This window comes from Homo sapiens, chromosome 14, assembly GCF_000001405.40.
Source record: "Homo sapiens chromosome 14, GRCh38.p14 Primary Assembly".
Classification (NCBI taxonomy): Eukaryota; Metazoa; Chordata; class Mammalia; order Primates; family Hominidae; genus Homo; species Homo sapiens.
Genome location: NC_000014.9, coordinates 72732292 through 72745048, shown reverse-complemented (window position 1 = coordinate 72745048; position 12757 = coordinate 72732292). Strand labels below are relative to the sequence as shown.

General features: G+C 48.7%; 1 protein-coding gene across 4 annotated transcripts in view, besides 1 other annotated feature; it reads left to right on the top strand.

Annotated features, from left to right (window-relative positions):
* Positions 1-12757, top strand: part of DPF3 (double PHD fingers 3) — a 285068-nt gene that overhangs the window by 149053 nt on the left and 123258 nt on the right. The window lies entirely within an intron of this gene.
* Positions 2010-2967: an enhancer, noted in NCBI's record as "H3K27ac-H3K4me1 hESC enhancer chr14:73208790-73209747 (GRCh37/hg19 assembly coordinates)". NCBI's record gives its function as "activates a minimal SCP1, AML or CMV promoter by ChIP-STARR-seq in naive H9 embryonic stem cells {active_cell/tissue: H9 hESC(naive)}" and the evidence as "EXISTENCE:reporter gene assay evidence [ECO:0000049][PMID:30033119]".

Sequence of the window (12757 nt, the reverse complement as noted above, 5' to 3'; positions counted from 1 at the left end):
TCCTGGTGTGACCTCCCCTTGACAGAGGATGCTCAGGAATCTAGTTTTGCCTAGTACTGTTGAAGCCCACCTGGGTTCTGCCGTCAGCACACCCTGACATGTCCTCATCTCCTCCGGGAAGAGGGAGAATAGTCTGCCTGCTCTTCAAGAGACTGAGGGGCCACTGGCCTGGAGCAGAATTGTCTCAAGGCATGAGTTTCTTTCCACGTCAGACTCTCCTATGGACAGTGAGGAGATGTCACAAAAAATTTATGCCAACATTCAGCTTGTCCCTCCTGTATTCCTTTCTGTCCCTGCCTGAGTCCAGCAGTGATGGGCAGGTTTCAGCAACGAAGTCCAGGGGTAACGAGGGTCAGAGTTTTCTCTGAGCTCAGGTCTGCGGAGCTGTGTCAGGAAACCAGGTCAGGGCAAAGAGTGGGGGGTGCACGTTCAAGAATCTTGAGGGCTGTTGGAGAAGATCTGAGGACAGTGCCACAGAACCATCCTTTTCTGATTCAGTCCCCCGAAGCACTTTGCTCATGTGGGATGAGTGGACCTTTCAGGCTGGAAAGTGGGGAGCTGGGCCTGGGTGACATGGCAAGAACCTGTCTCTACAAAAAATACAAAAATTAGCCAGGTGTGGTGGTGGGCACCTGTAGGGTGACACTACTAGGGAGGCTGAGGTAGGAGGATCAATGAAGTCCGCGAGGTTGTGGCTGCAGTGAGCCATGATTGCACCACTGCCCTCCAGCCTGGGTGACAGAGGGAGGCCCTGGCTCAAAAAAAGTGGGGAGCTGGGTCTTGGCTGACATCGAGTCATTTGTTCCTGGGTGAAATTATTCCCTCCTGGAGTGACTCCCAGTCCTGCTGTCCTCACCCCTTCAGTGTGGTAAATGCACCATCCCTCTTCTGTTTCTTTATTATTTGCTGAAAATAAAAATCTGTCTGCATGGGGATAGGAAGGGCCTGAGATCTGGGAAGAACTCTTTGGAATTTGCAAGTGTTCTCAGTGTCCCTGGACCTATGTGTTTCTCCTGCCAAATGTCACCCCTCTAGTCAGTCTTGAATAAACATCTTGCAACCTCCTACTTGCCTGGGCATCTGAAGGACAACACACACAACATTATTTCTCCCCAGTGACTGACAATTGAGTTCAGTGTTCTCTGCAGCTTGCACTTGGCCACAGAGGCGAATGCAAGGTGTTTCATGATGTAGACATCACAATTCTACAACACAAAGACTTGGGCAGGGGCCTGGTGCCAGCAAGGGGCCTCCCCCGGACCATCTCCCCAGGAAAAGGGCTCTGTCCTTGTGAAGGGGGAGTGGAGCTGGCAGAAGAGAAAGGTGGAGAGTAAATATCCACCAGAAGGCCTGGGAGCACAGCAGATGTTGGGCAAAAGCCAGCTGATTAAAAAAGAGGCCTTTAACTTCACTTTCTTTCTTTTTCTTTTCCTTTTTTTTTTTTTTTTGAATGAAGAAAAGACAAAGGCTGGGAACAAACTTTTACTTGTGTCCCCTTGAAGTAAATGCCCAGATAGTCTGCTTAGATCAATTTAGCATCTTTCAACCCCAGACCTTCGGTCCCCATGGTCTAGGACAGATATTATCTTCATTTTAGAGGTTGGGAAACTGCGGCACAGAATTAGGAAGCTAATTTCCCAGGGGATCCTGGTGATGCCAGGATCCTGGTGATGCTCCCTATGGGGAGCCTGCTGGAGCTGCTGCCATGTTGCTTGAAGGCCCGACACACTCACTTATCCTGGACCCGCAGATGAAAAGGGCTTTACAGTTGACGCTCCTCCTGTACCTGGAATGCACCTGAGGCCTTGTCGATCCCTTCTGCTCCAGGACTCTTGGGGAGCAGGGTGGCTCTTTGCCACCCTTGCCGAATTCCGAGGGTGATGGGAGGGAGGGCAGCCAGGGATAGTGTTCTTTCTCTTGTATTTTTTCTGTTTTTGGCAGTCCTTCAATGACTGGGGATGAACGACCAGGATGATCGCCCCCATCCCATGTCGTTGGGGGAAACTCAGACAAGAGGGCATGCACCCCGAAGACGACAGTGGCTTAAGGTGTCCCAAAGCAGAGAGGGCCACAGGCTGGCCAACAAGCAAGTCGTAGGGACCTGCAGAGGGGTATCTCCCAAAGGGGTGGTCCAGGCGGAGGGACTTGAGTCTGGCCAGCTCGAGCAGGGGTGGTGAGGCCTACTTCACCCACCCAGGGTGCTGTCCCTGCTGCGCTGAACTGCCAGAACTCTACAGATGGGAGCAGGCTGCGGCCAACTTCCCCAGCTTTTGAAAATCCTGCATCTTAATTAGTTCCCTACTGCTTTTGTACATGGCCCACATTTTAATAGTCTCCAGGCTTCTCCACCATTTGCTCTCTGATGTTCGGTGCGATTTCTCTTCTCCTCAAGACAGTGCCCCTGGCTCCTGCGACACCCTCCCAATCCGGGAACAACTTAAGGAACGCCGAGGTGCCAAGCATGTAACCTGAGATTGATGAGCCTGTCAGCGGCTCCTTCTGCCCCCAGCCTTCCCCCTCTGCCGTGTGCTCTTCAGATGGATGAGCCAGGCGGGGGTGGGCAAGAACGGGGAGATGGAGGAAGGGACCCGCGGAGCCTCGAGCCAGGTGTGAGCCAATGGACAACGCGACCTTCTCCCGGCCTGCAGAGGAGTCTGGCTGTGTCCTTCCGAGGGGGAAGGACGCTCCGGCTCCCACCCCCATCTGTCAGTGCTTATCTGTCTCTGGGCGGTGGGGGTTGCCTGAGCTTGGTACGGCTGGGAGAATGGATGCCTTCAAGTGCATCAGGGGGAAATGACCAGTCATTTATCTCTTTCCTGCAGTGTCAGAGCCTGCAGCCATCCATCTGGAGGCCTGCACCGGCAGCTTCGTCAGCTCTGGTTGGCCTCATGAGAAGGGGAGCTGGAGCGAGGTGGGCAGGGCGTGCAGCCCCCACTCAGGCTGTGGCTATTACGTGCTGGAAGGGACCTGCTCCTTTTGCCTTCCTGTCCGTCTCAGGAAAGGAGCAGGGACTGGGGGACGAAGTCTGTGTGACTTCAGCTCTGCTCGTGTTCCCCAGCTCTGCTGGTGTTCTGCAGGGCTCTGGGAGCTTGGGCTGGCCGAGGAGGTGGGCTGGCAGCAGGCAGTGGGCAGGACAGTGGCACGGCTGCTGCTGAGTGTCCACGGTCATGTTTTGCAGTGGGACCTGGCAGAGCCACGTGTAGAGCATGAGTTGTGAGTCTGAGGGATCACCCAGTTATGCCATTGCCTGCTCACCTGTACCTCTGCCCACTGGGAGGTGGACAACTTGACGGCGAGGGCCCATCTGTTTCTTCATCTGTATCCCTAGCACCCAGCATGAGGCTTGGCACATAGTACATGGGCAGTAAAGATTTCTAAAGGGATGAGGGAAAGAGACATGTCTGGTGTTTGATCTTAACCTTGGAGAACATGACTTAGCTCTCATCATCTCTGCTTCACAGATGAGGGAGGCTCCGCCAGAGAGGAGAGGCCTGGGGTGGCTGAGCTTGGCTTCCCTTGTGGTTCCCAGCCTGGCCTGGGGGGCCCAAGTGTTGCCATCTTGGCTGTTTGGTTTTGGGTTGTAGGGGCCTTCCCTGTCCAAATATCCTTGCTCTGCAGGAGGACAGGCACCAAACAGGGATCACAGGCCTAGGTTCAAGTCTAGATCCCTCCAGCCACTGGCTGTGTGATTTTGGACAATTTCCTAACCACTCCTGCCTCAGTCCTTCATCTGTGAGATGTGGGTCATGGTGATTTTGCGGGGTTATTCTGAGAGGCGTGTGGGATGGAGGGTGGAGGACTTGGCAAGTGTGAGGAGGCACTGTGATTCTACCTCCACACTGCACTGCTGGGTGGGTCTCTGCAACACAGTTCCCGTCCCCAACACCGAAAATGAATTTGCTGCAGACAGCTCACTGCCCCGCTGGAAAAGTGTGTGCCATCTGGCCCAGAATGGCAACTCATTCTGCCTTAGAGTCTATTCATTTTATTTTATTTATTTATTTATTTTTAGAGACGGGCCTTGCTGTGTTCCTTAGGCTATATTTGAACTCCTGTGTTCACGTGATCCTCCTCCTGCCTCAGCCTCCTGAGTAGCTGGGAATTCAGGCATGCGCCACCATGCCCAGCTCTGTCTTATAGCCTTTTAAAAGGCCCCAGTCTATAGATGACCTAGAACTTGGCCGTGGGACCCACCTTTACCAGAACCACAGCTTGCAGGACCTCACTCCTATGTCCCAGAACTCAGCCCCGAGGCACCCATGGCCCAGGGCACAGAGATGAACTGGGAAGGCCTCCTCTCTGCTTTTACTACACCTGTTAAACCATGGTATGCCAGGCCAGGCCCATGTGGCTAGATCTTTTTCCCTGCCCTTGGCCTGGGCTGGTCCACTTTCTTCTTGAAGAGCCATTCCTCCGTGGACTCACCCTGGTGTGGCTTCACACCTTTGCCCACTTTGCATTGACACCAGCCTCTCCACTTGGCCTCCATCCTGGTTCACTGGTGGGGAAGCCCCCTGCTCAGGGCACTGCTCCCCAGTGCTTACTGCCCCCAGGACACATCTGAGAACCACAATATTAGTACCATGAGGACAGAGCTCTGTCCATATCGTGCATAGCTCCCTCCCCAAGCACCAAACTCATTAAGAGACGACATACATTTTGCAGTAACTCCTCACTGGTCACCCCACATCTGCTCCGACCCCCTTCACTTATTCTCAGAGTGATTCTGTTAACATGTAGGCATCATTATATCATGCTTTGCTCAACACCTCCAGCGGCTTGCCATTGCATTTGGGGTGGACGCCAACATTCTTGCAGGTGCCTACATGGCCTTCAATGCCCCTGTAGCTCCCCAAGCTGGTCTCCTACCATCCCCCTGGCTCACCGTGCTCCAGGCAGATGGGCCGGCTTCAGAGCTTTTGTGCTGAAGGCCCCTTTGCCTGGAACGTCTTTGCCTGGATGTCAGCGTAGCCCCCTCCCTCTCTTCCTTCAGGCTTGCACTTTCCTGGCCACATTTAAAAGTGTAACCCCCCTCCCATCACCCTGACACTCCAACTTCTCCTCCTTGGCTCTGTTTTTCCTCCAAAGCACTGATTACCATCTGTCACACTGAAGGTTTCACTTGTTTGCTTCATGTATTGTTTCTCTCTTGCTAGAATATAAATTCTATGAGGGCCGGGATTTTTGTCTCTTTTCTTCAGAGTCATTGCCCCAGCACCTAGAACAGAGTCGATACATAGTAGGTGCTTGATAATTACTTGCCAAATGAAGGGATAAAGCAGGGTATCTTCCACTGTGGCTCTGCCATGATTTTTCCCCCGAAGCTCCAGGAGCAATGGCCACCCTGGACTTGGAGCAGCACCAGCGTCTGCTTTCCAGCTGCGTCTCATTCTTGGCCTCTTCCATCCTGTTACCTGCCTCAGATTCCGTTTGTTTCCATCCTCCCTGGGCTCATGCCCATGGTGGGGTTAGCTGTGCCTCACTCACCACATCTGGTGGTCTTAGAGTGTCAGAAAGGTGAGGGTTTTTTTGCTGAAAAGCACAAGGAGAGGGAAACTGTAGGAGGTGGAAAGAAGGGAGCTCATACTTATTGAGCATCTCACCTGTGCCAGACACTTCATATGTATTATCTCCTTTGGCCCCATAACAACAGTGGGAAGTGGGTTTTGTTCTCCCAGGTTTACAGATAAGGAGATCAAGGCCAAGTGTGTGCTTTAGGGTAATGGAGCTGAGAGTTCACCCCAGAGCAGCTTTTTGCACTTTCTGGTTGTCTGTATTTCTTTGCACTATGCATTTTTTTTTTTTTTGAGACAGAGTCTCACTCTGTCACCTAGGCTGGAGCGCAGTGGCATGATCTTGGCTCACTGCAACCTCCCCCTTCCAGGTTCAAGCGATTCTCCCACCTCAGCCTCTCGAGTCACTGGGACTACAGGTGCGTACGATCCCACATGGCTAATTTTTGTGTTTTTTTGGTAGAAATGGGATTTCACCATGTAGGCCAGGCTGGTCTCAAACTCCTGACCTCAAGTTATCCACCCACCTCGCCTCCCAAAATATTGGGATTATAGGTGTGAACCACTGCTCCCAGCCTGCATTTTTATTATTTACTTTTTTATTCCCTCCGAGCTTTATTAAGGCATAATTGACAAATAAAAGTTATATATATTTATGGCATACAGTGTGATGTTTAAATATATATATACATTGTGAAATGACTAAATGAAGCTAGTTAATGTATCTATCACTCCACATTCTTGTCATTTTTTGTGTGTGCATGAGAACATTTAAGATTGACTCTCTTAGCAATTTTCATTACTAATAACTGGAGTCACCATGCTGTACAACAGATCTCCAGAACATATTCATCCTGTCTGACTGACACTCTGTACCATCTGACCAGCCTCTCCTGATTCCCCGACCTTGCCTTTGGAAATGCTGCCCGCACTCTGTCCACTCCCACCACCCTCCCCGTCTCACCCTCCTGGTAGCTGCATTTACCTGGTCTGCTGGCAGCTCAGTGGTGAGCTTCCTTGGGCAGTGTGGGTGTTTTTCTGTATCTCGGGGTGGGGGAATGCTTATCTGTGGTCCTGATATCTGGATGCCGTAACCCATCCTGGCGTGTCTACTTAGGGGTGAGAGGGTAGGTGCAGCAGAGGCCATATGGGGGAGGGATGAGTCCTCCTGTTATATGGATATCCTGAGATTCTAAAGCAAGTGGTAATAGGGCCTGCAGGGTGCAGCCTGGGTGATGGGTCCTCAATGTGAACCTCATCTATTTCGAGCTTTATGAGTCACAAAACAGGGAGTCAAAGGCAGCCAAGAAAGTGGCACCCCTAGGGAATGAGCAGATGGATCCCTGGGCCTGCCACCATCTTAGGAAATCAGGTCTCTGATCCCCCTCCCCAGTCTCTTCCCCTGTGAGGTGAGAGATAACAATACCTCCCTCCCTTCTCCCTCCTCACGAGTCTGACAGTCTGATGGGGATAAATGAAATAATGATTCTTAAGCTCTTTTCTCCTTCGTGTAATTTGATGTATAAATCCAAGGAAATATGATGAGCTTAACTCCTCAATATAATAAGCACCCAGACGAGAAAACTGCATGTTTGTATTTTTGAAGAAAAACTAGAGGCAGCTAAAAAAAAAAAAAATTGAGCACTCATGATCTAGCAGGAGGATTCTTTGCCATTGTCTGTGGGATTTCTCCCTCCCTTTTGCACCATAACTCTATCTCCAGGCCCCTGCATCAGAGGGAGCCCATGATGGATGGACGGATGGATGCGCCTTGTCGGGGTGTTTCACCACAATTTCCCTTGGGGCAGTCTGTCTGTTGGCAGAACACACTGCCTCCCGAAAGATGGTATCTCTTGCAAACTCGACAGCTAACAGACAGCTCCTCTCCTTGTATATTTCCCCAAAGAAGAACTGTCTTAATCTGTTTTCTATATGGCATATTTTATTATAATCCATATACGACTTGCAGGTTTCCAGTCCTTCATCCTGAGCCAAATAACGAAGGAGAAGGAGTCAGAGGCTTGGGGAGCTCATGACATTCGTGGCGTTTGCATTTTTAAATGACCTGGGATTTAATTACTCACTGTGCTCCCATGTTGCACTTTCAGACTCATCTCGCCTGCATCCTGTTAATGAGCTCGGTGGCTCCAACAACCCAGTGGAAGCTTTGCTTTCAGTGCATTGGGTGGCAGGCTTGGGGCACCTGTGTCAAAAGCTTGTGGCTTTGATCTGCACCCAAGAGGATGGCTGCCCTGTCTGTAGCCCTAAAGAGAAGAAGCCATTGCTCTTTGCTGGAAATTTCTGTGTGTGTGTGTGGTTTTTTTTGTTTGTTTGTTTGTTTTTTTGCTTTTATTTGTGCTTTTTTTGGTTGTTTTTAAAAGACTTTCTATGCTTCAATCCTTGTTTGTCTCGGAGGTTTTTTCTTATTTAGAAACCGATTTGCTTCGGTTTGCACAGAAGCTGTCTCTGGTGTGATGGATCGTGCTGGAAGTCACCCAAGGAGTATCTCTGTTCCCAATTAGAAGTAGAGGCAGAGCTGCTTACGGGGGCCCAGGGAGGCGGCTGGCTTGGGTGACAGCTGCTGCCGCTCTGGAGAGAGTAACGATCCATGGGTTTATATCCATGTGTATAAAATCAGGCTAATTTAAAGATGAATTATGTGTGTGTTTTGGACCATTTTCTTTTAATGTTAAAGGTTCAATGGCTCCTGTCGGGTTATGTGGGCCCCAAGTTTGTGTGAGGTTCAAAATGAGTACACTTTCAAAGAATTATTAAATCCTATATCCAGATGGGCCATATTCAAATAAAATTGGATAAATGAAATCCCTAAGGGCTCAATAGAAGTGTGTTTAGGACATACATTGTGCAAGGGCTTGGACCTGTTACCTTTCTTCCTCCTTCATTCTGGGACCTCCTGTGGTCAGGAGGCAGAGTGCACCCTGTGTTTGTTTGTAGGGAGGGATGGCTACCCTTTCACTCTGACCTTGCAGGCCTTACCCATCATGCTTTGCAACCAGGGTTTGCAGTGATCCGCTAGAACTCTGCTCTTGGAATGGCACTCGGCAGCTATTACGTGGACAACATTAAGAACCACAGTAAAATTCTTTCCATTTTTTGGAAGCAAAGTCATAGTTAATGTTATTTTTAATGCTGCAAATCTGCACTGTCCATTATGGTAGCTGGTAGCCACCTGTGGCTATGGAGCTCTTGAAATGTGGCTAGTCTGAATTGAGATACGCTCTAAATGGAAAATACCCACCAGACTTTGAAGACAATGCAGATAAAAGAATGTAAAATTTTGCGTCCATATTTTTATGTTGATTTCATGTTGAATGGTAATGTTTTAGAAATACCAGATCGGATACAATATCTTATTAAAATTAATGACACCTGACTTTCTTCCTTTTTCTACATGTGACTACTAGTAAGTTAAAAATTACATAAGTGGCCGGTATTACATTTCTGTTGGACAGTGCAGCTGTACCATTGAAATCAAAACTATTCAAACTTAGGGAATAACATCTAGCATTTTTAGGATACTTACCATGTTGTAGATTCTTTACGTATATGATCTAATTTTGAATCTAAGTTTTGAATAGAATAAAACAAAAGTTGATAAGCCTCATCTTCTACCCTATTTATCACACTAGTTTTTTTGTGTGTGGATTCTTTTAGCGTTTCTTTATGTAGCACATTGCCATGTTTGATTCGCCAACACTGAAATAGATACTATGACCACACCCATTTACCACATATGGAAATGGAGGCTTAGGTTACGTAGCTAGCCCATGGTCCCTTTACTAATACGTGGCAAGGCTAGGGATTGACTCCAGGGCTGTCTGAAGGCAGAACCTATGGGAGCAAATCAACTATTGTGGTAATTAGGGAAGCAAGATGCCACTACATGTCTCTGTGACCCTGGGGGAATCTCTATATCTTTCTGTGCTTCACTTTCCTGTTTAAGGGATTGGACTCTTGATGCTATTGGAGATCCCTTCTTGCTTTTTCCATTTCACTTTTCCCATTTGGTTCTGTTTTCCCTCTTGATTCTTCTACTGTGCCTATCTGGTAAAGTTTGGTTAAAGAGGACCAAGAGAGTAGATTCAATTATGGGAAAGCAGGATGGAGGCATATTTATCAGAGGAGGAAGGAAGAGCAGGAGAAGGAAGAGAGGGGCAAGTTCACTATTGATGGAACATTCTATAGTGGGTAGATACTGTCGCAGAATGGTGAACATTGCACGGGGATGATCGTATAGAGCAGAACCCAAAACCATGGCACAAACCTGCCCTCATCCTCAGTTAAAGATCTGCCTTTTATCCTGAAATATGAAAACTATGGAGTGAGTCTCAGAATGTAATGAAAATGCATAAAGGTTTGGAAAAAGACTTTTCAAGGAAGGACCACAGAGAGACAGGGTGGAGTCCATGCAGCCTAATTAGGTGACTGGGTCTGAAGGCAGATTGAGTTTAAGGCCGGGCTTTGCCCCTTACCAGCTGTGTGATATCAAGCAAGTTCTCAACCTCTATAAGCTGCACTGCCCTCATCTGTAAAACGGGTTAATAACTGTGCTCTTGGGTGTAGTGGGGATTGATACGTAGCAGTAACAGCTGCTAAGTTTTGAATGTTTGCTGCTTGCCAAGCCCTCTGCATGTACACGGATGTACCAAAGCTCATTCAGGGCTCAGCCTAAGCCTGTCAACCACTAATAAGAATACAATGAGAGGGGGCCATTGTCGTGATTTCAGTGGCAACTTGGAAATATCATTCAGCTGCATTCTCATCCTGCTGTGTGGCTGTTGGTGGTTACTTAACTTTTCAGGGTCTCGGGTGACGCATCTACAAAATGAGATGATTGAATTAGATGATCTATAAGGTCTTTTCTAGCTCTAAAATGCTGTACCATTCTGGGAAATAACACTAATAAATAGGATTTATTTAGTGCTGCGAAGGCTAAGGGGGATACTAAAATATGAACTTCAACTCTATGTATATATGATTATTATAAGTTTGAGGGGTTGTGACCAGCTGTTCTCTTTTGACTGAGGACAGGACATGAGACAGCACACACTAATTGCTTTAGAGTAGACATTTGGAAGACTTTTCTGACTTGGGAGAAAGAGTAATATGTCATCAGAGCAGGCTATGGAGATGTACTCCATGAACTCATTAAAGCAGACAGTTGGCTGTTTGTCTGACACTCTCCTTAAATGTAACTTCATCATACAGGCCTTCCCTGACTCCCTGATCTAAGGTAGACCCCGTTACCTATATTCTTTCACATTTCATTCTGTCGTTTTCCTCCCTAACATTTACGACAATTCGTAATTGCATTTTGATTTTGTATTTTGCATTTACTATCTGTCTCTTTGGACTGTAAGCCTCCTAAAGGCAGGGCCTGTCTTTATTTGGTTCACCTCCTATGTCCCTAGTCCCAGCACAGTGGTGGTCCTATGGCAGGTGCTCAGTAAATATCTGTTGAATGGATAGATGGATTCAGAGGTGGCTGATTTCGTGGTAGCGCTCCTTGATGGGAAGTGGATCCTTTGCTCTCCTTTTTTGGTAGGAAAAATCCCAAAGACTTTGTTTCTCAAGAGATTTTAGATGCTGTTTCTCCTTCCCACCTTCTTTTTCTGGGGGCCGGTCACCCACAGGTGTGCATTTGTTCAGTTTTAATGGATGCCCGCTTGCCGCTTCCTCATGGATTGGTCAGACTCCCTCTGTTTCTGGTGGAGGAAGTGGAAAGTGCAGGTAGGATTCTGTTGGAGTCAGGACAGAGCCCAGTGGAGCAGGCTCGGTGGTGCTGCTCTTTCCATTTGCCCCTCCAGATCCATGCTTTTCCGTCTTCACCCTGCTCGGAGCTCGGTAGGCTGTGTGAAGGGGGCTCCCTTCCCCTCTCGCTTCTGTTTAAGGTTGGCCCTTGGGAGAGGACGCAGCAGGCTGATGGAGGATGGATGGAGAGGGTGGTTGGATTGTTTCTTCCCTTGGTTCCTGGCTTCTGCAAGCCATAGCTCCTGTCCTGGGGCTCTGCTAATGGTGCTATCTCCAGGTTCTTGCAAGCACTCTCCCTCTGTCCCTCCAAAAATAGCAGCAGCGGTAATGGCCCCTCTCCACCCTCACCCCTGCCCAAAACCCACCTGGGATGCTTTAACCTACCTTGTCAGATCCCTTAATCACCTCTCCCCATCTCTGTAAATAGTCCCTACACTAAACTCTCAATACCCCCAAAAGAGCAGGCCATTCATCTCTCCTGTTTTCTGGGACACCACTGCATCATAGTTCCTGCCCCCAGCTTACCTGGTGCAATGGTAAGGACCACATATCAAACTGTGGCAGTGTGGGGGTATGAGGTCCAGGATCAGAGGAGAGGTTGAAGAAATATTTTAGTAAATCAGAATGATCTCCTGTACCTTAGGTTTGCATCTTTAATTAAAAAAACAGCAGGGGATGGTGGCTCATGCCTATAACCCCAGTGCTTTGGGAGGCTGAGGCAGATGGATTGCTTGAGGCCAGAAGTTTGAGGCTGCAGTGAGCTATGATAGTGCCACTGCACTCCAGCCTGGGTGATAAAGTAAGACCCTGTCTCTAAAAGAGAAAGAAAGAGAGAGAGAGAGAAAGAAAGAAAGAGAAAGAAAGAAGGGAGAGAGAAAGAAAGAAAGAGAGAATGGAAAGAAAGAAAGGAGGGAGGGAGGGAAAGGAAAGAAAGGAGGGAAGGAAAGAAAGAAAAGAAAGAAACACACCAACCCTCTGTCAGGTCAGGAGTTTGGGACACCTGGAGGAAGGGGTTCAGCTTCTCTCTGGTGTCTCTTCTGGGCAGGGCTGGCTCGGGTTGCCACTTCTCTGCTGGCAACCCCAGGGCTTCTCTTCTCAAGCCCCAGGTAGCTGATCAAACTCCTGATACCTTCAGAAAAAAAGGTCGTGGCGTGGCTGTGCAGTGGCCACTCTGCTCATCCGGGGCTTGTGAGGCATTCGCCGTCGCTCCTCTTCCCGTGGCTTTTGAAGCTCTCACTTCCCCCTGGGTTGAAGAGAACAACCTTTCTGAGGCTGAACTAGCTTTTCATGGAGGAAAGCAGAGCTGGGCAGCCAGCATGGCCATGAGGAGGTCATGGGGTTGACAGACAAGAGCTGGGATAGGAGGGAATGAGCATACTTGGTTGCCAGCATTGTGCATTGCTTGAGTTTTTGAAACACTTTCCCGCAAATGAACACATGTCCCCTTACAAAACCACCTGTGGGGTTGGGTA